We start from the raw sequence: 24,843 nt of genomic DNA on the forward strand, positions 1-24,843 counted from the left end.
TATGCTAAGTTAAACTTAATGTCTAAATATAGTTTTAGTTGTATTGCATTTCTAAATCAGATCCTAGTGTGCCTAACATTTTTATTTTCAATGTCTAATTGTTGAATAGTTTTCTACAGTAGGTATTATGTCTATTTATCTTCTTGATTTCTTTTTTTTTTTTTTTTTGAGATGGAGTCTCACTTTTGTCACTCAGGCTGGAGTGCAATGGTGTGATCTCGGATCACTACAACCTCTGCCTCCCGGGCTCAAGCAATTCTCCTGCCTCAGCCTCCTGTGTAGCTGGGATTACAGGCATCTGCCACCACGCCTGGCTAATTTCTGTATTTTTAATAGAGATGGGGTTTCACCATGTTTGCCGGGCTGGTCTCGAACTACTGACCTCAGGTGATCTGCCCACCTCGGCCTCCCAAAGTGCTGGGATTACAGGTGTGAGCCACTGCACCAGGCCTGTCTTCTTCATTTCTAATGGTTATGAATGTGTATAATATACTGGCCTGTTATAGGTCAGTTTTCTTAAGATTCCATTGTCTTTTTAAAAATCTGTCTTAGGAAATGAGAAGAGATACACCAGAATTACTTGGGATTTTTTTTTTTTAAACCACTAGGGATTCTGATGGCTTACCTTCTTTGTCATCCCTTTTTGGAAATCCAAAATGCACACCACCATACCCAGTTAATTTTTGTATTTTTTGTAGAGAAAGGGTTTTACCATGTTTCCCAGGCTGGTCTCAAACTCTTGAGCTCAAGCAATCCACCTACCTCAGCCTCCCAAAGTTCTGGGATTACAAGTGTGGGCCACTGCACCAGGCCTAGATTTTCAAATTTTAAATATGTATCATATCTAGTAATAAAATAATTTATTCTCCTAAAGTGTTAATTTAGTCATACTTATATTAGAGAAGTCATTGGTTATTAGGAAAACATTCCTAAAAATGGTGCCCATTTCTTTAAGAAATCATTCAAATTTTAAGTGGCAAGCACTAAAATTAACACAAAAGAGAAATTCTTAATAAAAATTACATATTTTCAGAGTCTTCCCTCTTATATACTTTTGTCTTGGATAACCTTCACAAAATGTATCCTTTTATATCCAGTACCCCAAAAGTTGCCAGCTTTCACTTGTTTACTTTCTGGTCTGCCTTCCGTATAGATTCCTTCTTTTCTTCTCTCTTTACTCTTGAATTAATCCTCTACCTACTTCACAGGCCGATTCTTTGATGAAAATGAATCCCCTGTTGATCCGCAGCATGGCTCTAAACTGGCGGATTATAATGGGGATGATGGTAACGTAGGTGAGTATGAGGCAGACAAGCAGGCTGAGCTGGCTTACAATGAGGAAGAAGATGGTGATGGTGGAGAGGAAGACGTCCAAGGTGAGCGTGGGCCTGGCCTCCATGCTATAACCATGAAACCCACCTCTAAGTTTTTTGGTTGAATTTGTGTAGAATTTCCCCCACTTATTAGTGGCAGTGTAACCTAAATTTTTTGTTTTTTCTTTGTGACGGAATTTCGCTTTTGTTGCCCAGGCTGGAGTCCAATGGTGCGATCTTGGCTCACCGCAACCTCCACCTCCCGGGTTCAAGCGATTCTCCTGCCTCAGCCTCCCAAGTAGCTGGGATTACAGGCATGCACCACCACGCCTGGCTAATTTTGTATATTTAGTAGAGACGGGGTTTCTCCATGTTGGTCAGGCTGGTCTCAAACTCCCGACCTCAGGTGATCTGCTCACCTCAGGCTCCCAAAGTGCTGGGATTACAGGCATGAGCCACTGCGCCCAGCCAACCTCAGTATTAATACAAAGAGGTTCTGTGGAGTTTTTCAGTTTTATTTTGAAAACTTTTATAATAGTGGAATTTGTAAATCTGTAAATTATTTTAATTTTTAAAAATTTTGGTTATCTTATGTGTATTATTGATACAGCTATGATTTAAAACTTAGAATCTTCAGAAATTTTAGAATTAAATTGTTTAAAATGACTCTAGACTTTACCTAAGGCAAATGCTTCTAGAAAATACACTTTTCCAATTTCTCATCTAAAAACATTTTGTTATTTCAGGTACAAATATTGCCCAGGTAGCTTTTTCGTTATAAGGAAAGCCACAAAGGGAATGGTTTTCTCCACACTGAAGATAAGATTATTTCACCACTGACATAGCAGAGGAAGGCTATTTTTGAATTTTTTCTGAGAGGCTTAAAATTTATATTTAACAATCAATATGTGAAGAGTTTTTTTTATATTTATTACACAGATTCAACATATTTTTCTTATTCACTGTGTTACTTCTGCTGAGCATTTAACTTAGTGAAAGTTCAGAATCTACCTGTGTGCATGCAGCCCTACCCATGCATGCATATCAGAGTGTTTTACTCTATTACAAGTTTTTAGGCTAGTTTTCTGCCTGCTTATATTGTTTAGTAGTATTTGTGGAGCTATTTCTCTTTTCTATAAAAGTTGATTGTGACCTTAGTGTGTGATACATTACATTTTTATGTGATACATGGAAATTTTTCATCATAACATGCTTTGATTTCTTCCTTAGCTGTTTTTAAAGTAATTAAATTTTTATTTAGGCTCATGACAAGCATTGTTTTTATAAAACCCAGAAGAAAATGTAGTTGTTCTAGAAAATTATATGGTTTGTAGAAAAAAGGGAAACTAGAGACTGACTTTTACCTAGGCACTGTTTTCATAGTTCATTTTAGTTTAGGAAAATTATGATTATTGGGGATAGAAAAGAGATTCATATGTGCTAGGAGTTATATAAGGTTATATTTATAAGAATTTTTCAAACACTTTTTGGTAATATTGATATTGATATAAATATAACCTTACAATATTATGTACTTTTTCTATAATCTCATCCTTTTTTCATAAATTTTATCATTTTTTCTCATTGCTTTTGTGATTTGTTTGGATTATATTTATTTGCAATTATTTATAACGTTTTAAGGCTTTTTCATGCATGTATATCATATCACCAATTAGATTGTAAGCTCTTGGAGGGCAGGAATTTTTATTTATTTTGCCTTCCATTTTGTTTGTATCCTTTTCTACCTTTATACCCACCCCCCACAGTACTTTGCACATCACCCACCCGCCACAGTACTTTGCACATTGTCTTTAACTGATAATTGCATGCTTTTCTCGTTGAGCATTTATTCTTATAACTGTGACTAGGGTAATAACTCTTTAACTTCTGGTATTACAAGGTTGCTTGGTTTACACTTTCAATATTCTCTAATTTTTGTAAGGGCTTTTTCATCTCATTGGATAATTTTGAGGTTTTTATTATAGTGGTTTATCTCAATCTTTGTTGTCAATCATTTCTTATATCTTAAAGGTGATAATTGTCAGAAAATTTTGATTTAATATTTGTATGGATTTCAATCTATTGTAAGTAGATTTATTTTCAGTGCCTTCTCTCTCCCTTTCTTGTACTCTTCTCCTTCTTCCTCCCCTGGTTCTTACTGCCACCTTCTACTTCAAGTCCCCAAGACCCTCATGTTGCCCTCCCATTCCTTTCACAAGAAAATAAATTCACCGATACTAAGGAATATAAGGAAATGACAAAAGATGATGTCCTCAGTGAAGTAGAGAAGGGGCTGTTACATTTTTGGATTTCCCTATTTGCAAGTTAATCTTACGTGAGCTGAGTGTTGCCATTTAACATTTCTTGTCTCATTCTGGCATTCTCTAGATGATAGTGGCAGGATAGGGCACCTACAAAGGGGACCAAGAACAAAAAGATGCAGGAACATCAGCTCCAACAAATAAAGAGGGATAAGTTTGGGTGAACTGACTAAAAAGGAATACTGAGGAGACCTAAATAATTGTTAACATGTTTCCAGGGATCCTTTTTTTTAATTGAGACAGAGTCTTGCTCTGTCACCCAGGCTGAAGCTGAATCTTCCTGTTGTAGAGTTGATTTTTGTGTGTTTTTTTGCTTTTTTTTTTGAGACGGAGTCTCACTCTGTCTCACCCAGGCTAGAGTGCAGTGGTGCGATCTCAGCTCACTGCAACCTCTGCTTCCTAGGTTCAAGCGATTCTCCTGCCTCAGCCTCCTGAGTAGCTGAGACTACAGCCGTGCACCACCACGTCCAGCTAAGTTTTGTATTTTTAGTAGAGATGGGGGTTTCACCATGTTGGTCAGGCTGGCCTCGAACTCCTGACCTCAAGTGATCCACCCGCCTCAGCCTCCCAAAGTGCTGGGATTACAGGCATGAGCCACCACACCTGGCCATCCAGGGATTCTTTAGGTATATTATTAACTGTCCAAAAAGTAGGGAGAGGTAATTATGGCTGTTCCCTAATTTATCAACAAGTTGGATTCCAAATGTTCATTACTGTGCCAATGTGGAAGTAATGGTTGGGTTCCCAGTATGGTTTGCACTTGTAGCCAAAGCAGGCAGAACATAGAGTAGAAAAAAACATTAGTCAGCCAGGCGCAGTGGCTCACACCTGTAATCCCAGAACTTTGGGAGGCCAAGGCAGGCGGATCACCTGAGGTCAGGATTTCGAGACCAGCCTGGCCAACCTCTCTACTAAAAAATACAAAAATTAGCTGGGTGTGGTGGCAGGCGCCTGTAGTCCCAGCTACTTGGGAGGCTGAGGCAGGAGAATTGCTTGAACCCGGGAGGCAGACGTGTGGTAAGCCGAGATTGCACCATTGCACTCCAGCCTAGGTAGCAGAACGAGACTCTGTCTCAAAAAAAGAAAGAAAAAAAGAAAAAAACATTAGTCTAGAATCAAGAGATAGTCTGTGTATTGCTTTTCAAGTCACTTAAACTCTCTGGGCCACAATTTCTTCATCTGTATGAAGACTGCTGAATTAGAATAAATGATCTTTCTCAGTTTTAAAATTCTGTGGCCACATTCAAGTTGGAATCATTATATATAACACAAGTATTATGAGAAAATATGTTTCAGATTTCAGGATGTCTGAAACAGATCTATTCCCAAATCCATGAAAGAAAGTAGAAACTTTATTGCCACTATTGTGACTCTACAGTGAAAGATAACAAAAAATGAAGCACACACTTAATGCTCAATCAATAGGGGCTCTTCTCTGCTCTCTAGTAGTAGGAGTAGTTTCTTAAGTTGTGAGGTCCCTAGGATTAGAGATTCCAGCTGCAGGATAAGATTCTGGCTTCACCTAAATATACTTTGGCTTTGGTCTCCAAAATTGTGTATTATGAATTGAGGCTTTGGCAGCATATCTGCCAGTAGGGAGCTGAAGCATTCCAGCCTTTTATCTGATACCTGTTCATTTCATATTAATCATTGGGGTCAGCACTACTTGTAGAGTGTTTTGTAGAATTGAGGCCTATTTTTCCTGTGTTTACAATTATTTATATATGTAAGTATATATATAAATTATATATAAACAATATATAAAATATATTCTATTTTAATAAAAATGTTTGCATATTTATAATATATTTATATAGATATATAAATGGTTATATATTTATAATATATTTCTATTATATATTTATAACATATTTCTATTATATATATTTATATTTATATTATATATTTAATATATTTATATTATAATTTATGATATATTTATATTATATATTTATATATATATATTTTTTGGAGACAGGGTGTCCCTCTGTCACCCAGGCTGGAGTGCAGTGGCATGATCATGGCTTACTGCAGCCTCGACCTCCTGGGGTCAAGTGATCCTCCCACCTCAGCCTCCTGAGTATCTGGGACTACAGGCATGCACCACCACGGCTGGCTAGTTTTTTGTATTTTTTGTAGTGGCAGGATTTAGCCATGTTTCCCATGTTTCCCAGGCTGGTCTTAAACTCCTGGACTCAAGCAATCAGGCCACCTCGGTCTCCCAAAGTGTTCGGATTATAGGCATGAGCCGCTGCACCTGGCTCCTCACTGGCTTTTTGCCCCGAATTCTTGCTTTTTTTTTAAATTTTTTTTATTTTCTAAGATGGGGTCTTGCTATATTGCCCAGGCTGGTTTCAAACTCCTGAGCTCAAGCTATCCACTTCCCTCAGCCTCCCAAAGTGTTGGGATCACAGGCGTGAGCCACTGCACCCAGGCGATAGAGCTTTCTTTCTTTTATCTTTTTTTTTTTTTTTTGTCGCCCAGGCTGGAGTACAATGGCGTAATCTCAGCTCACTGCAACCTCCCCCTCCCAGGTTCAAGCAATTCTCTTGCCTCAGCTTCCTGAGTAGCTGGGATTACAGGCGTCCACCATCACGTCCAGCTGATTTTTGTATTTTTACAAGAGACAGGGTTTCACCATGTTGGCCAGGCTGGTCTTGAACTCCTGACCTCATGATCTGCCCGCCTCAGCCTCCCAAAGTGCTGGGATTACGGCGTGAGCAACCACACCCAGCCATGGTAGCGCTTTCTTTAATGGAGGTGGCCTTTCTTGACTTCAGAGGGAATTTAGGAATTATTTAATAAACTATGGATATCTTTAAAATATTCCTTTAATATTCATTTTACCTTGATGAACTATTTAAAATTTTGCTGCTTCCTAAAAGGAACTAAAATATTAGTTCTTATAATTATATTTAGTGGTTATCTGTTATTCTACATTAGATTTGGTTAGGTGATTTCATAATCATGTACTACTGCTTTACAGATAAATGCAAAGAGGTTGTTGGTAGAAACTTGAATTCTGGGTAGAATAGCTACACTGAATATGAACTCCAGTTAATTTAAAAGTCCTATGAAATTCTGAAAACAATGTGAAGATACCATATTAAAACTTTGCTAACAGGTATAAATTAACAAAAAAATACTTCATATTTATTGAGGACATTGCAAGTAATGACTGCCTTCATGTATATTATTTTGAGGTAGGAAACACAGTTGTTATCTCTATTTTCCTGAGAAGATAATTACAGGTCCAAATAATTTTAGGAACTAGATCATGTTTGTTAAGTACGTGAGCTGGGAGTACATTTGTTTTTCTGTTCCTAGACATTTGCTCTTATCCTGATTTCGCTTTTTATTTGTTCACTTAAAAATTCCAAAAAGGGCCAGGCGCGGTGGTTCACTCCTGTAATCCCAGCATTTTGGGAGGCCAAGGAGGGCAGATCACACCCTCCTGGCTAAGATGGTGAAACCCCGTCTCTACTAAAAATACAAAAAAAATTCAGCCCGGAGTGGCGGCGGGAGCCTGTAGTCCCAGCTACTGGGGAGCCTGAGGCAGGAGAATGGTGTGAACCTAGGAGGCGGAGCTTGCAGTGAGCCGAGATCGCCTACTGCACTCCAGCCTGGGCAACAGAGCGAGACTACGTCTCAAAACAAACAAGCAAACAAACAAATCCCAAAAAGGACGGGCACGGTGGCTCATGCCTGTAATCCCAGCACTTTGGGAGGCTGAGGCAGCTGGATCACGAGGTCAGGAGATCGAGACCATCTTGGCTAACAAGGTGAAACCCCATCTCTACTCTCTACTAAAAATACAAAAAATTAGCCGGGCGTGATGGCGGGCACCCGTAGTCCCAGCTACTCGGGAGGCTGAGGCAGGAGAATGGCGTGAACCCGGGAGGCAGAGCTTGCAGTGAGCCAAGATCGCGCCACTGCACTCCAGCTTGAGCGACAGAGCAAGACTCCGTCTCAAAAAAAAAAAGCCCAAAAAGTGGCTGGGCGCGGTGGGTCATGCCTGTAATCTAGCACTTTGGGAGGCCGAGGCGGGTGGATCGCCTGAGGTCAGGAGTTCGAGACCAGTCTGGCCAACATGGGGAAAACCTGTTTCTACTAAAAATACAAAAAAATTAGCTGGGCGTGATGGCGGGCCCCTGTAATCTCAGCAACTCGGGAGGCTGCGGCAGGAGAATTGCTGGAACCTGGGAGGCGGAGGTTGCAGTGAGCCGAGATCTCGCCATTGCACTAACAGGCTCGGCTACAACAGCAAGACCCTCTCTCTCAAAAAAAAAAAAAAAAAAAAAAAAAAAAAAAAAATGCTGGGCGCTGTGCCTCACGCCTGTAATACCAGCACTTTGGGAGGCCGAGCCAGGTGTATCACGAGGTCAGGAGTTCGAGACCAGCCTAACCAACATGGTAAAACCCCGTCTCTACTAAAAAAAAAAAAAATACAAAAATTATCCGGGCATGGTGGCGCACGCCTGTAATCCCAGCTACTCAAGAGGCTGAGGCAGGAGAATCGCTTGAACCCGGGAGGCGGAGGTTGCAATGAGCCGAATTCGTGCCACTGCACTCCAGCCTGGGCAACAGAGCAAGACTTCGTCTAAAAAAAAAAAAAAAAAATCCCAAAAAGTAAAGACACCTTTTCCTTTCAATAACTTTCCTATTAAATTTCTAGAAAATTATCCACTGCTACATGATGATTAAGTCTTATCTTAATTTAATCATTATATTAAAGTCCTAAAAGATGTGTTTATAGCCATAAGGTGAGGTTCTATAATGTGGATCCTAAGGAGAGCTTTCTGGAGAGGTACCCGTGATTATTTTCCCTTTTAAAAACAAAGATAGGCTGGGCGCGGTGTCTCATGCCTGTAATCCCAGCACTTTGGGAGGCCGAGGCGGGCGGATTACGAGGTCAGAAGTTCGAGACCATCCTGGCTAACACGGTGAAACCCCGTCTCTACTAAAAAAATACAAAAAAATTAGCTGGGCGTGGTGGCGGGCGCCTGTACTCGGGAGGCTGAGGCAGGAGAATGGCGCGAACCTGGGAGGCGGAGCTTGCAGTGAGCTGAGATCGCGCCACTGCGCTCCAGCCTGGGCGACCCAGTGAGACTCCGTCTCAAAAATATATACATAATTTTTTTTAAGTAAAGAGTTCATTGATAATTGATTAGCATGTATATAAAGTAAAAGTGTGAAATGGATATAATTTCAGGCTTTAACACATATTAAGACAGATTTGGGATTATCATACCTAGTGGATTATACTATTTAAAGATAGATCATTTGTTAAGAATATGGGGTAGGCTGGGTGCAGTGGTCACAGCTGTAATTCCAGCACTTCGGGAGGCTAAGGTGGGCAGATCGCTTGAACCCAGGAGTTAAAGGCCAGCCTGGGCAACATGGTGAAACCCTGTCTCTACAAAAAAAAAAAAAAGGAAAAATTAGCTGGGCATGTGGTGTGTGCCTGTAGTCCTAGCTACTCAGAAAGTTGAAGTGGGAGGATCCCTTGAGCCCTGGGAAGTTGAGGCTGCAGTGAGCCGAGATTGTGCCACTGTACTCCAACCTGAGTGATGGGACTGAGACCCTGTATCAAAAAAAAAAAAAAAAAAAAGGTGCAAAATGGTTACCTGAAATTCTAGAAATGAAAATTTCTGTAAGTTTAACAGGAAAGTTGTTGAAAAAGAAAGTTGGTTTGTTTGACTTTTTTTTTTTTTTTTTTTTTTTTTTGAGATAGGGTTTAACTCTGTTACCCAGGCTGGAGTGCAGTGGTGTGATCTCTGCTTACTGCAACCTCCACCTCCCAGGCTCAAGCAATCCTCCTACCTCAGCCTCCTGAGTAGCTGGGACTACAGGTACACACAACCATGCCTGGCTAAATTTTGTATTTTTAGTAGAGACTGGGTTTCAGCATGTTGCCCAGGCTGGTCTCAAACTCCTGAGCTCAAGTGATCTGCCTGCCTCTGCCTCCCAAAGTGCTGGGATTGCAAGCTTGGACAACCATGCCTGGCCTGTTTTGCATTTTTGAAAGAAGAAAGTTTTAGAGTGTTAAAACCTCTCATACCTAAAGTAATAGTTTTTAGAAAACTATAGTATACATATGAATTTAGATTCCAATGTATGACTTTCTTTAAATTATATTAACAAAAATTAAGCTATTGGGTAATAGTATGTGACCCAGAATGTAAGAAAAGTGATTTTTTAAGTCTGCAGAGAAGCCAAAAGATATCATAAAAATCCATGTACTCTACGCCAGGCGCGGTGGCTTATGCCTGTAATCCCAGTACTTTGGGTGGCTGAGGCAGGTAGATCACAAGGCCAGGAGTTTGAGACCGGCCTGGCCAACATGGTGAAACTAAAAATACAAAAATTAGCTGGGTGCGGTGGCAAGCGCCTTTAGTCCCAGCCACTCAGGAGGCTGAGGCAGGAGATTCCCTTGAACCCAGGAGACAGAGGTTGCATTGAGCTGAGATCATGCAACTGCACTCCAGCCTGGGCGACAGAATGAGACTGCATCTCAAAAAAAAAAAAAAAAAAAATCCATGTACTCCAAAGGGACTCTCCAAGGCTCTCATCAAAATACTTTTCATTCTTGTTCTAATATAATTTTAATACTCTTGGCTGAGGCCGGTGGATCACTTGAGCCCAGGAGTTCCAGACTAGCCTGGGCAAATGGCAAAACCCTGTCTTTACAAAAAATACAAAATGTAGCCTGGTGTGGTGGCGTGCACCTGTGGTCCCAGCTACCTGGGAGGTTGAGGTGGGAGGATTACTTGAGGCCGGGAGGTTGAGACTGCAAGTGAGCCATGATAATACCACTACACTTGAGCCTGGCCAACAGAGCAAGATTCTGTCTCAGAAAAACAAACAAACAAACAAACAAAAAAACCTCTTCAGCAGTCTCATTTCAAAACCTGTAATTTGCAGCAAAATTAGAAAAGAAGGATTGCTATTGGCAGGTAAATTGACAAGAAGGCAAAGTGATCACAACTCATAGCCAAGAAAGAGCCAGAAAAATCTGTAATAGCCAAATAAATCAAACTCCATAGCACTATTTGGAGTAATTTAATACAGCCACTCAAAGAGGCTTTGAGGATTTTAGTAACAGTAATCTTTTTTTTCTGTTTAGTTAAGAAAAGGTTAAACTTTGGTTGTTATACCCCATTTAGGAAGCCAAGAGGAAGCTACTTTTGCAGAGACGTAAAGAAATTCACTAAAATGTTAAATGTTGGGATTATGAGTGACTTTTATTTTTCTGTCTTTTATAATTTTAAAAATACTAATATTGGATACTTTTATAATTTAGAAAAAAAAATTGATGTTTAAAAGCCTGAAAATGTGTACAGAAATGTTTCTACCAAAGCTTTAATTTAAAGGACTAAATATCATCTATATAGAAATAATATATTTAGGCTGGGCACTGTGGCTCACGCCTGTAATCCCAGCACTTTAGGAGGCCGAGGTGGGCAGATCACCTGAGGTGAAGAGTTTGAGACCAGCCTGGCCAACATGGTAAAACCCCGTCTCTACTAAAAATACAGAAATTAGCCAGGCATGGTGACAGGTGCCTGTAGTGCCAGCTACTTGGGAGGCTGAGGTAGGAGAATCGCTTGATCCTGGGAGACAGAGGTTGCAGTGAGCCAAGATCGCACCACTGCACTCCAGCCTAGGCAACGGAGTGAGAGTCGGTCTCAAAAAAAAAAAAAAGACTACATTTATATAAAAATATTAACTCCTCAATATTTGTGCGTTCCTAAAGTTTTACTAGTTATGTCTATCTGGCTCTATTTCTGTTTGTCTGTCATCTATGTCTATTTTCTAAAGATTTGTTAAAATTAATCTTGCAAAATAGTTCCACATACTTTTCACTCTTTAGCCAAGCAACTAAGAAATAGAACACTATTTGTACTAGGTGTAAAATAACAAGCAGGAAACTACCTTAAGGCTATGAAAAACTGAGACATTAATTGGATTTCTGCAGTGATTTAAAAAATAATATGTTGATACAAAATTATTTTACTTACAGATGATGAAGAACGAGAGCTTCAAATGGATCCTGCAGACTATGGAAAGCAACATTTCAATGATGTCCTTTAAGTCCTAAAGGAATGCTTCAGAAAACCTAAAGTGCTGTAAAATGAAATCATTCTACTTTGTCCTTTCTGACTTTTGTTGTAAAGACGAATTGTATCAGTTGTAAAGATACATTGAGATAGAATTAAGGAAAAACTTTAATGAAGGAATGTACCCATGTACATATGTGAACTTTTTCATATTGTATTATCAAGGTATAGACTTTTTTGGTTATGATACAGTTAAGCCAAAAACAGCTAATCTTTGCATCTAAAGCAAACTAATGTATATTTCACATTTTATTGAGCCGACTTATTTCCACAAATAGATAAACAGGACAAAATAGTTGTACAGGTTATATGTGGCATAGCATAACCACAGTAAGAACAGAACAGATATTCAGCAGAAAACTTTTTATACTCTAATTCTTTTTTTTTTTTTTTTTGAGACAGAGTTTTAGTCTTGTTTCCCAGGCTGGAGTGCAATGGCACAATCTTGGCTCACTGCAACCTCCGCCTCCTGGGTTCAGGCAATTTTCCTGCCTCAGCCTCCCAAGTAGCTGGGATTACAGGCACCCACCACCATGCCCAGCTAATTTTTGTATTTTTAATAGAGAGCTAATAATTGTATATTTAATAAAGACGGGTTTCACCATGTTGGCCAGGCTGGTCTTGAACTCCTGACCTCAGGTGATCCTCCTGCATTGGCCTCCCAAAGTGCTGGAATTCCAGGCATGAGCCACTGCGCCCAGTCTACACACTAATTCTTGTTAGCCCAACAGCTGTTCTGTTCTATCTACCCCTCATTTCACGCTCAAGGAGTCATACCTAGAATAGTTACACACAAGAGGGAAACTGGAAGCCAAACACTGTACAGTATTGTGTAGAAAGTCACCTCCCTACTCCTTTTATTTTACATGAGTGCTGATGTGTTTTGGCAGATGAGCTTTCAGCTGAGGCCTGATGGAAATTGAGATAACCTGCAAAGACATAACAGTATTTATGAGTTATATCTTAGTTCTTGAAATTGTGGAATGCATGATTGACAATATATTTTTAATTTTTATTTTTTCAAGTAATACCAGTACTGTTTAACTATAGCCAGAACTGGCTAAAATTTTTATATTTTCAGAGTTGAAGTTGGTGAAGACATTCATGATTTAAACACCAGATCCTGAAAGGGGTTAAATCTACTTTGAAATGAATCTGCAATCAGTATTTCAAAGCTTTTCTGGTAATTTTAGTGATCTTATTTGATTAGACTTTTTCAGAAGTACTAAATAAGGAATTTTAACAGGTTTTTATTAATGCACAGATAAATAGAAGTACAGTGAGGTCTATAGCCATTTTATTAAAATAGCTTAAAAGTTTGTAAAAAAATGAATCTTTGTAATTACTTAATATGTTAGTTAAGAACCCGTCAAGCTTATATTTGCTAGACTTACAAATTATTTTAAATGCATTTATCTTTTTTGACACTATTCAGTGGAATGTGTAAGCTAGCTAATTCTTGTTTTCTGATTTAAAGCACTTTTAAATCTTATCCTGCCCCCTAAAAACAAAAGGTTTTGATCACAAGGGGAAATTTAAGATTGTTAACCCTGTTTTTCAGAAGGGCTACTGTTAATTGCACATAAACATGAAATGTGTTTTCCCCTGTGTACTAACACATTCTAGGCAAAATTCAAACTTATAGTGGTAAAGAAACAGGTTGTTCACTTGCTGAGGTGCAAAAATTCTTAAGACTTCTGTTTGAAATTGCTCAATGACTAGGAAAAGATGTAGTAGTTTACTAAAATTGTTTTTCTACCATATCAAATTAAACAATTCATGCCTTTATAGGGTCAGGCCTACAATGAATAGGTATGGTGGTTTCACAGAATTTTAAAATAGAGTTAAAGGGAAGTGATGTACATTTCGGGGGCATTAGGGTAGGGAGATGAATCAAAAAATACCCCTAGTAATGCTTTATATTTTAATACTGCAAAAGCTTTACAAATGGAAACCATGCAATTACCTGCCTTAGTTCTTTTGTCATAAAAACAATCACTTGGTTGGTTGTATTGTAGCTATTACTTATACAGCAACATTTCTTCAATTAGCAGTCTAGACATTTTATAAACAGAAATCTTGGACCAATTGATAATATTTCTGACTGTATTAATATTTTAGTGCTATAAAATACTATGTGAATCTCTTAAAAATCTGACATTTTACAGTCTGTATTAGACATACTGTTTTTATAATGTTTTACTTCTGCCTTAAGATTTAGGTTTTTTAAATGTATTTTTGCCCTGAATTAAGTGTTAATTTGATGGAAACTCTGCTTTTAAAATCATCATTTACTGGGTTCTAATAAATTAAAAATTAAACTTGTTTCACTGTTTTGCTGATTCTAATACATACACAAACATCACACCCATGATGTAAATACATTTTAACACTAAAATCTGAGTAAGTTTAGCACTCATTTTAAGTTAAGCTAAACTAAAAAACCAAATTTTTTTTTTTGAAACGGAGTCTCACTCTGTTGCCCAGGCTGGAGTGCAGTGGCGCATCTCAGCTCACTGCAACTTCTGTCTCCCGGATTCAAGCAATTCTCCTGCCTCAGCCTCCCAAGTAGCTGGGATTACAGGCACGTGCCACCACACCTGGCTAATTTTTGTATTTTTGGTAGAGACAGGGTTTCACCATGTTGGCCAGGCTGGTCTCAAACTCCTGACCTCAGGTGATCCACCTGCCTTGACCTCCCAAAGTGCTGGGATTACAGGCATGAGCTACCATACCCGTCCTGAAAACCAAATATTTTTACACCAGGGCTCTTTACTGTAGGTCTAGTTTATTCAACAAATATTGAATGCCTATTATGTGCCCAGCATTGTTCTAGGTATTAAGATAAGTGGATAAGATAGACAAGGTCTCTGTTCGCATGGAGCGTACATTCAAGTGGGGGCAGTCAGACAATACACAAGTAAACAAATGAACAAGACAACTTTAAATAGTGTTAAAGAGCTATTAAAAATAAAAGTCCTGGCTGGGCGCAGTGGCTCACTCCTATAATCCCAGCACTTTGGGAGGCTGAGGCGGGCAGATCACCAGGTCAAGAGTTCGAGACCAGCCTGACCAACATGGTGAAACCGTGTCTCTACTAAAAAGACAAAAATTAGCTGGAGGTGGTGGCGTGCGCCTGTAATCCCAGCTACTCAGGAGGCTGAGGCAGGAGAATCGCTTGAACCCGGGAGGCGAAGGTCACAGTAAGCCAAGATCACCACTGCACTCCAGCCTGGGTGACAGAGCAAGACTCTGTCTCAAATAAATCAATGAATGAATGAATGTTCTAAGGGTCCAAACAATTAGATTTTACTGAACTAAAACATTACAGTTATTTGGCTGGAATGGAATATGCAAGGGAGAGAGAAATGAGGCTGAAGAAGTATGGAGGGGTCAAGATAGGGAGAGCCTTGTAAGTTTAGGTATTGCTACTGACCCATAAATAAAATGAAGCAAATATACATGGAAAGATGATTTTAGAAGAAAAGTGAATATGACTTCAAAATCATTTCTAAAATATGACACAGTTTGAAGAAATCTTAAGATTGTGTCTTTTGGGCTTCTCATTCCTGTAATCATGTAACAACAAAATTTGCTTGAATATGAGGACAGAGAATTTGTTTTTAAAAAAAGCAACAACAAGACAGGTGTGGTGGCTCACGCCTGTAATCCCAGCACTTTGGGAGGCTGAGGCAGGCGGATCACAAGGTCAGGAGTTCGAGACCAGCCTGGCCAACATGGTGAAACCCTGTCTCTATTAAAAAAACACAAAAATTAGCCGGGCTTGGTGGCGTGCGCCTGTAATCCCAGCTACTTGGGAGGCTGAGGCAGGAGAATCGCTTGAACCCAGGAGGCGGAGGTTGCAGTGAGCCAAGATCGAGCCACTGCACTCCAGCCTGGGCGACAGAGCTAGACTCCGTCTCAGAAAAAAAGCAACAACATACTTACGAGGAAGTGTATTAGACTGTTTTCACACTGCTATAAAGGTACTACCTGAGACTCGGTAATTTATACAGGAAAGAGGTTTAATGACTCACAGTTCCGCATGGCTGGGGAGGCCTCAGGAAACTTACAGTCATGGCAGAAGGCAAAAGGGAAGCAAGGCACATTTTACATGGTGGCAGGAGAGAAAGTGTGCACACAGGAAACTGCCATTTTTAAAACCATTGGATCTTGTGAGAACTCACTCACTATCACGAGAACAGCATGGGGGAAACCCTCGCCATTAACCAGTCACCTCTCACCAGGTCCCTGCCTCTACACAGGAGGATTACAATTCGAGATGAGATTTGGGTGGGGACACAGAGCCAAACTGTATCAGGAAGGTAGTCACTTTCCATAATGGGGCTGACCTTAGAAACACCTATTCTCTCATGTGCGGCATATGGTTTCAATGGGACAGTGTGTCATTAATACATTTTCAGTCTAGGTTATAGAGTTTTCACATCACATGTGGGCCATCGACATTCAGTTCTAATTTTTTTGTTTTGTTTTGTTTTGTTTTGTTTTGAAACGGAGTCTAGCTCTGTCACCAGGCTGGAGTGCAGTGGTGCGATCTCGGCTCACTGCAACCTCTGCCTCCCGGGTTCAAGCGATTCTCATGCCTCAGCCTCCCGAGTAGCTGGGACTACAGGCATGTGCCACCACGCCCAGCTAATTTTTGTATTTTTAGTAGAGACGGGGTTTCACCATGTTGGCCAGGATGGTCTCAATCTCTTGACCTCGTGATCCACCTCGGCCTCCCAAAGCGCTGGGATTACAGGCATGAGCCACCGCACCCTACCCAGTTTCTTTTAAAACTCTCTTCACTAAGAGTTCCAAGTGAAAATTCAACCAACTAACCCAGAAAAAGGGGGGAAATGTAATGGTTCATGTAAGAAAAGTGCATAAAGAATAGGAATCCCCTGGACTTAAAGACAACTGAAACAAGGACTGGAATGCTGCCAGGACTTTGTTTCACCAACTCCCATTTCTACTTCCCTCTACTTACTACCTTGTCTCAAACTAGCTCCCTCCTCAAAGTTCTAACTGTGGCTTCTAACAGATCATATTTTCTTAGTTTTGCTACCTGGGAGGGGCTTCTCCTCTTCCCTTAGTTTCACTTCAAAAATCTGAGGGAGGCCAGGCACAGTGGCTCGTGCCTGTAATCCCAGCACTTTGAGAGGCCAAGGTGGACAGATTCCTTAAGCCCAGGAGTTCAAGACCAACTTGGGCATCATGGTGAAACTCTTGTCTCTACAAAAAATACAAAAATTAGCCAGGTATATGCCTGTAGTGGTGTATGCCTATAGTTCCAGCTGTCTGGGATGCTGAGGTGGGAGGACACTTGAGCCCAGGAGGTCAAGGCTGCAGTGAGCCATGACCATACTACTCTATTCCAACCTGGGTGACAGAGTGAGACTCTGACTAAAGAAAAAAGTCTGAGGTAAGGAAAGGGAGACTTCTGCTTCTGGCTATGTTGGAGTAACTTGACTAGCCCTCTTGGATTAGTAGCACCTATAAAACTCGACAAGATGTATTAGGCAACTATTTCCATCCAGCACAAGACTACTATCCCTGAGAGAAGGGAAACTTAGGCAGTGAGCCCCACAATCATTCCACTTTTTGTGGTGTAAAGAGGCTGGGAGTAAGAGCAGAGGACAGTGGGTCTGCTGAACTGAGAAGGCAGAGATCATAGGGAGCAGCTGAGACATTTGGAATCTGTTGGGTGGGACACCAGAGAATAGGGAGCTGTTCACAGAGGCAGCCCCAGAAATCCATATAGAGGTCCCCACAAGTCCATGGCCAAGGACTGGGCTATACATGCTCAGAAAAAAGACCATCTAATGCTTACAGATAGCGGTTGCTACAGGGCTGAGAACAGAATAGAGATACCAGAGGCCAAGAAGTTTTGGCACAAAAGCAGTGCTAAGGGACATTGGATTTCTGGGCCTGCCAAGGTGAACATCTTTAACAATTGCAGCAACAGGCTGAGCGGGTGGCTCATGCCTGTAATCCCAACACTGGGAGGCCAAGGCAGGTGGATCACCTGAGGTCGGGAGTTTGAGACCAGCCTGGCCAACATGGCGAAACCCCATCTCTACTAAAAAAAACACAAAAATTAGCTGGGTGTGGTGGCACATGCCTGTAATTCCAGCTACTCGGGAGGCTGAGGCACGAGAATCGCTTGAACCCAGGAGGCAGAGGTTGCAGTGAGCCAAGATCATGCCCTGTACTTCAGCCTGGGCAACAGAGGGAAACTCTGTCTCAAAAAAAAAAAAAAAATTGCAGCAACAGCTGAAACATTAGAAAGGCTGCACATTAGGAGTAAACTCCATCCCCTACAGTAAGACCTACTCTAGATCTGCCTTATCAAAGCCTAAAGTCAAGCCTTGACAAGATTAGCAGGGGAAACAGAGTATGGAGCTTGTGTCCTGCCAACGTAGGGCTTGCAAGTCTCCTTAGGCTTTCCATAGATGTGAACTAACAAAGTATAAATAAAACCAAGCATCAACAAGTTTAGGTGACCACTCAGTAACTGAAGTGCCTGCTAAAACAAGAATCATCACTTTTCAGGGAAGATAACAGAATCTAGAGTCTCTAAAACATTATTATTCATAATGTCCAGTGTTCCCGAAAAAATGACTAGACCTACAAAGAGACGAGAAAATGTGGTCCATAGTTTTTTAAAATTGGGGTGGACTTTGTTATTTGTTTTGTTTTGGAGACAGTCTTTTCTTTTTTCTTTTTTTTTTTTTTTGAGATGGAGTCTCACTCTGTCACCCAGGCTGGAGTGCAGTGGCTCGATCTCTGCTCACTGCAAGCTCTGCCTCCCGGGTTCACACCATTCTCCTGCCTCAGCCTCCCGAGTAGCTGGAACTACAGGCGCCCACCACTACGCCCGGCTAATTTTTTGTATTTTTAGTAGAGATGGGGTTTCACCGTGTTAGCCAGGATGGTCTCGATCTCCTGACCTCATGATCTGCCCGCCTCGGCCTCCCAAAGTGCTGGGATTACAGGTGTGAGCCATCGCACCCGGCCTGGAGACAGTCTTGCTCTGTCGCCCAGGAGGGAGTGCAGTGGCACGACCTTGGCTCACTGCAACCTCCACCTCCCAGGTTTAAGCAATTCTCGTGCCTCATCCTCCTGAGTAGCTGGGAAGGACTACAGGCACGCAACACCACACCCAGCTAATTTTTGTGTATTTTAGTGGAGACAGGGTTTCACCACGTTGCCCAGGCTGGTCTTGAATTCCTGAGCTCAGGCAATCCACCCGTCTCGGCTTCCCAAAGTGCTAGGACTACAGGCATGAATCACTGCACCCAGCCTTTATTGTATTTGTTAATGGAGCTATTATAAATATGTTTAAAGAATTAAATGAAAATATGTTAATGAAAGAACAGATAGGGAATCTCAGCACAGACACGGAAATTATAAAAATCCTAATGAGATTCTAGAACTGCAAAGAACAATAACTGAAATGAAAAATTCATCAGATGGGTTTAATAGCAGATTGGAGATGGCAGAAAAATGAACTTGAAGACATACAAAGTAACATGTCCAAGTATTTGGAAACACAGGGTTGACATGTTGAGAGACTCAGAAATTTGAATTTTTGATTTATTCGTCAAAATTAACGTACAGCCCTTAAGACACTATCCATCCAACTCTCTAACACGGGATTTTATCATGGCAGAACAATGACCATTCTGCAACTATGTATTGAATACCTAATACGTGTACAGAACTGTTCAGAGTACTGGGGATACAGCCGTGACAAAATCCCCGCTTTCATGGAACTACATATTAGAGGGAGAGACAAAATTATTTTATATGCTTATTATATGACCAGTAGTGATAAATGCTGAGAAAAAGAAGCCAGAATAAAGTGAGTAATAGGCCGGTAGGCCAGGCCCGGTGGCTCAGGCCTGTAATCCCAGCACTTTGGGAGGCCGAGTTGGGCGGATCATGAGGTCAGGAGTACGAGACCAGCCTGACCAACATGGTGAAACCCCATCTCTACTAAAAATACAAAAAAATTAGCCGAGCGTGGTGGCATGCGCCTATAATCTCAGCTACTCGCTGAGGCAGGAGAATAGCTTGAACCTGGGAGGCAGAGGTTGCAGTGAGCCCAGATCGCGCCATTGCACTCCAGCCTCGGCGACAGAGTGAGACTCTGTCTCAAAAATAAATAAATAAATAAATAATAGGCCAGCCCGGTGGCTCATGCCTGTAATGCCAGCACTTTGGGAGGCCGAGTCAGGCAAATCACCTGAGGTCAGAAGTGCGAGACCAGCCTGGCCAACATGGTGAAACCCCATCTCTGCTAAAAATACAAAAATAGCAGGGCATGGTGGCATGTGCCTGTAGTCCCAGCTACTCAGGAGGCTGAGGCAGGAGAATCACTTGAACCCTGGAGGCAGAGGTTGCAGTGAGCTGAGATCACACCAGTGCACTCCAGCCTGGGCAACAGAGCAAGACTCAGCCTCAAAAATCAAAAACAAACAAAAAATAAAATGAATAGTGATGGAGGGGTGCTATTTTAGATAGGACGATCAGGGAAGGCCTTTCTGAAGAGGTGGTGGTAAAACATGCAATGTAAATATCCTGTATAGCACTATTCAATTGAAATATTGAAACCACCTATATATTTTTAAATTTTCTAGTAGCCACATTTTTTTTTTTTTTTGAGACAGAGTCCCGCTCTGTCGCCCAGGCTGGAGGGCAGTGGCACGATCTCGGCTCACTGCAAGCTCTGCCTCCCGAGTTCACGCCATTCTCCTGCCTCAGCCTCCCAAGTAGCTGGGACTACAGGCGCCCGCCACCATGCCCGGCTAATTTTTTGCATTTTTTAGTAGAGATGGGGTTTCACCATGTTAGCCAGGATGGTCTCGATCTCCTGACCTTGTGATCCACCCACCTCGGCCTCCCAAAGTGCTGGGATTACAGGCGTGAGCCACGGTGCCCGGCCCACATTTTTTAAAAAAAGGGTGAGATTTTGATATTTTACTTAACCAATATACGCAACATGTATTAAATACAGAATACTATTAATGAGATTTTTTTTTTTTTGAGATGGAGTTTCGCTCTTCCACCCAGGCTGGAGTGTCGTGGAGCGATCTCGGCTCACTGCAACCTCCACCTTCTGATTTCAAGTGATTCTCTTGCCTCAGCCTCCCCAGTAGCTGGGATTACAGGCGCCCGCCACCATGCCCAGCTCATTTTTGTATTTTTGGGGTTTCATCATGTTGGCCAGGCTGGTCTCGATCTCATGACCTCACGAACTGCCTGCCTCGGCCTCCCAAAGTGCTGGGATTACAGGCATGAGCCACTGCGCCCGGCCATGAGGCAGAGGTTGCAGTGAGCCAAGATTGAGCCATTCCAGCCTGGGCGACAAGAGCAAGACTCTGTATTTAAAAATAAAAACAAAAACAAAAATTAGCCAGGGGTGGTAGTGCACGCCTGTAATCCCAGCTACCTGGGAGGCTGAGGCAGGTGAATCACTTGAACCCAGGAGGTGGAGGTTGCAATGAGCCGAGATTGTGCCACTGCACTCCAGCCTGGGCAATAGAGCAAGACTCTGTCTCAAAAAAAAAACAAAACAAAAAACTGGCTGCTGTGTTGAAAAGATTGAAGGGGTTCAAGAGTGAAACAGAAAGACTTTAAAGGCTGTTATAGCATTCCAAGTTAAAGATGATGGTTATTGAACTAGAGAAGCAGTTGAGGTGATGAGAAGGGTTTCGATTCAGAATTGATTTTGAAAGTTTATTGTACTTTAAAATTGGACATTGGGTATGAGAAAGAAAAACTGCATTCAGTAAGGCAGAGAATACTTAAGGAGGTGCAGGTTTGAGAGAAAATTAAAAATTTAGTTTTGACCACATTAAGTTTCAGATGACCATTGCCATCAAGTAATTGCAACAGTGGAGCAAAATAACAGTTCTGGTATTTCAATATTTAATATATTACTGCCTTACTGAGTTGCAATAAGTGACAAAAACATATACATCATAGAATTAACATAAGAATGAACTGTGAAGAACAAATGCCTTATATTTCAGGTAAAAGGTAAATATATTCCATATACTCTGGAATAAGGACCTACTGAAAGACTGCTGAGGATTTGAGGTATTTGTATTACATTACTTTTTTTTTTTTTTTTTTTTCTGAGACAGAGTCTTGCCCGGTTTCCCAGGCTGGAGTGCAATGGCCTGATCTCGGCTCACTGCAACCTCCGCCTCCCAAGTTCAAGGGATTCTCCTGCCTCAGCCTCCCAAGTAGCTGGGATTACAGGCGCGTGCCACCACACCCAGCTAATTTTTTGCATCCTTAGTAGAGACGAGGTTTCACCATGTTGGCCAGGCTGTTCTCGAACTCCTGACTTCGTGATCCACCCACCTCTGCCTCCCAAAGTGCTGGGATTACAGGCGTGAGCCACCGTGCCCAGCCTACATTTTTTTTTTTTTTTTTTTTTGAGATGGAATCTCATTCTGTCCCCCAGGCTGGAGTGCAGTAGCATTATCTTGGCCCGCTGCAACATCTACCTCCCGGGTTCAAGCAATTCTCCTGACTCAGACTCCTGAGTAGCTGAGATTACAGGCACGTGCCACCATAACCAGCTAATTTTTGTATTTTTAGTACATATGGGGTTTCGCCATGTTGGCCAGGCTGGTCTCAACTCCTGACCTCATGTGATCTGCCCACCTTGGCCTCCCAAAGTGTTGGGATTACAGGCGTGAGCCACCGCGCCTGACCCTATTACATTACTTAATGAACACTCTACTTCATTAGTGTCTTCATATAGCAGTAGTTTTGAATAGTTTAAAAAGCATTCAAGCTGGGTATGGTGGCATGTGCCTGTAGTTCCAGCTACTCAGGAGGCTGAGGTGAGAGGATCACTTGAGCCCAAGAGTTTGAGTCCAGCCTGGGCCGCCTGGGCAATATAGCAAGACTCCACCTCTTAAAAAAAAAAAAAAAAAAAAAACAGAAAGCAAAAATACCTGCTACTAGCTTTTTGCATTAATTACACTTTTTTCCTGTGGCCACTGCTTTACATTTAAAAATACTTCATACTTTTTTAAGTTCATATTTTTAGACCATTATTTTATTCTAAAATTTTGGACTAGATTGTTACGGAAGCTTCAAGACATTAACTACTACCATTTAAGGTAGTAGTTAACTACTACCTACTAAGTAGTTAATTACTACTTTAAGTAGTAATTAACTACTACCATTTAAGGAGCAAGGAAAGCATCTTGCTAAGTGCTTTCGTAAATAATCTAATTTGATCTTCACAACAATTCACTTAGATATTGCAGAAAAGGAGGCTAGGAGAGAGACCATGGGATATAAATTAAGGTAAAAAGCAGAACATAACAATTATCCCTTGTGAAAAAATGGTGTTAAAATGTTAAAAATTGCAAATGGACTTAGGCTTACTATCAGCAACCTTTCTAAACTTATTTTTTTTTTAATAGAGATAAGGTCTCACTATGTTGCCAAGGCTGGTCTTGAACCTGAGATACAATGATCCTCCCACCTCACCCTACCAAAGTGCTGTGATTATGGCCTGGCCCTAAACTTACCAAATGTAACAATGGTAATAATATTGCCATAAGAGGTGGTATAATGAGCAGAATAGGGGCTTGAGTCTCTATTATATTTCTTACTAGATGATTGTGACTGTCTTTGGATATGGCATGTTTTTCTTCTTTTTTCAAATTTCAGTGTCTTCAACTGAAAGGCAGGGAACAAATACCACCTATTTTACCTACCTCATAGGGTTGTTAGAGAATCAAAATGCATATAAAAGTGCTCTTTGGAAATAGCGTATTTTACTTAAGTTTTAGGAACGTGAAGGTTTGAAATAACGATTTCTTGGAAATTTTTTCCCCCAGAAATATTTCTAATTTTTACCTGATTTAAAAATAACTTTATTAGCCAGTCCTCGGTACTGGGAGGCTGAGGTGGGAGGATCACTTGAGCCCAGGTGTTTAAGGATGCAGTGAGTTATGATCATGCCACTGCACTCAAGCCAGGGGTACAGAGGAAGTCCTTGTCTCTAAACAAAAAGCAAAACAAAACTTTAGGGGCTGTGTGCAGTAGCTCAGGCCCGTAATCCCAGCACTTTGGGAGGCCAAGGCAGGAAGATGGCTTGAACCATGGATTTTGAGGTTGCAATGAGCTTTAATTACTTCAGCCTGGGGAATGGAGTGAGACCCTGTCTCTAAAAATAAATAAATAAATAAAATAAACTTTAGTAATAATGGGGTAACTGTTTAGTTGGTATTTTACTGCTTTCCATGATACACTCTGGATAAACTAATTATTTGTTGGATTCCATTGAACTTTTCAGGAATCTATTTTTGTGTGTGTGGACTGTTACTATTAATAGTTCTGTGCTGTGTATACCACCAGCTCCCAATAAATGTCGCATTCAGAGCATTTTTGCACTAGGAAGATTTAGGGTGCAAATGAACTCTGACAGAAGAATCTGTAGTATACAAGGTTTTCAGAAGACAACCCACCTGCTCCATACTTCGAAATAATGAGATTCACAACGGTATGTTATTTCTGCTTACTTCTCAGCCTCTCTTGCCATCTTCCCCCTGCCCTCCCATCCTCTTTTCTTAGCGCACAGAACTACTTCTCCAATGGCTCAACACAGTCTCATCTTTGGACTTTTCCGTCTGTTGTTTCCTTTACCCAGACACTCTTCCCCTGCAACACACACTCCTCCTTTTTGTCTCAGATGTTATCTTACGAAACCTTCCCAGACCCCCTCGCCGGCACTCTCATGTGTTTTACAACGCCTATCATGCCATCCTTGTATTCGCTTTATCAGTTTTTAAATTCTGTTTACTTGGGTGTCTTCTTCAATAGATTATGATCTTTGGCCGGGCGCGGTGGCTCACGCCTGTAATACCAGCACTTTGGGAGGCCGAAGCGGGCGGATCACGAGGTCAGGAGTACGAGACCAGCCTGACCAACGTGGTGAAACCCCGTCTCTACTAAAAATACAAAAATTAGCCGGTCGTGGTGGCGCGCGCCTGTAATCCCAGCTTCTCGGGGGGCTGAGGCAGAAGAATCGCTTGAACCCGGGAGGTGGAG

The 24,843-nt window shown here is 41.3% G+C and overlaps 1 protein-coding gene and 1 long non-coding RNA gene across 4 annotated transcripts in view, besides 1 other annotated feature; both read left to right on the plus strand.

The window, feature by feature from the left end:
- The window catches only part of GOLM2 (golgi membrane protein 2), a 127,040-nt gene extending 112,960 nt beyond the window's left edge, over positions 1 to 14,080 (plus strand). For 2 of the 3 annotated variants that reach the window (NR_157849.2, NM_177974.3), the window contains one exon: positions 11,658 to 14,080. Coding sequence is in view for 2 of the 3 variants with exons in the window: in NM_177974.3 (NP_816929.1) it covers positions 11,658 to 11,728 (71 nt within the window). In the remaining variant the exon portion in view is untranslated. Of the gene's footprint in view, positions 1 to 1,208; positions 1,377 to 11,657 lie in introns of all 3 variants that reach the window. The other variant, NM_138423.4, reaches the window with a different exon arrangement.
- Positions 1,537 to 1,756: a silencer, noted in NCBI's record as "fragment chr15:44695413-44695632 (GRCh37/hg19 assembly coordinates)". NCBI's record gives its function as "represses an EF-1alpha promoter that drives an FKBP-Casp9 reporter gene in an ReSE screen in phorbol 12-myristate 13-acetate-treated (for megakaryocytic differentiation) K562 erythroleukemia cells {active_cell/tissue: K562(+PMA)}" and the evidence as "EXISTENCE:reporter gene assay evidence [ECO:0000049][PMID:32094911]".
- Positions 14,081 to 21,320: 7,240 nt separating the features above from the next.
- LOC124903479 (uncharacterized) lies at positions 21,321 to 24,639 on the plus strand. Its single transcript, XR_007064605.1, has 3 exons — positions 21,321 to 21,861; positions 24,089 to 24,295; positions 24,616 to 24,639. It is a non-coding gene; the product is annotated as an uncharacterized LOC124903479 (long non-coding RNA).

This window comes from Homo sapiens, chromosome 15, assembly GCF_000001405.40.
Source record: "Homo sapiens chromosome 15, GRCh38.p14 Primary Assembly".
Lineage (NCBI taxonomy): Eukaryota > Metazoa > Chordata > Mammalia > Primates > Hominidae > Homo > Homo sapiens.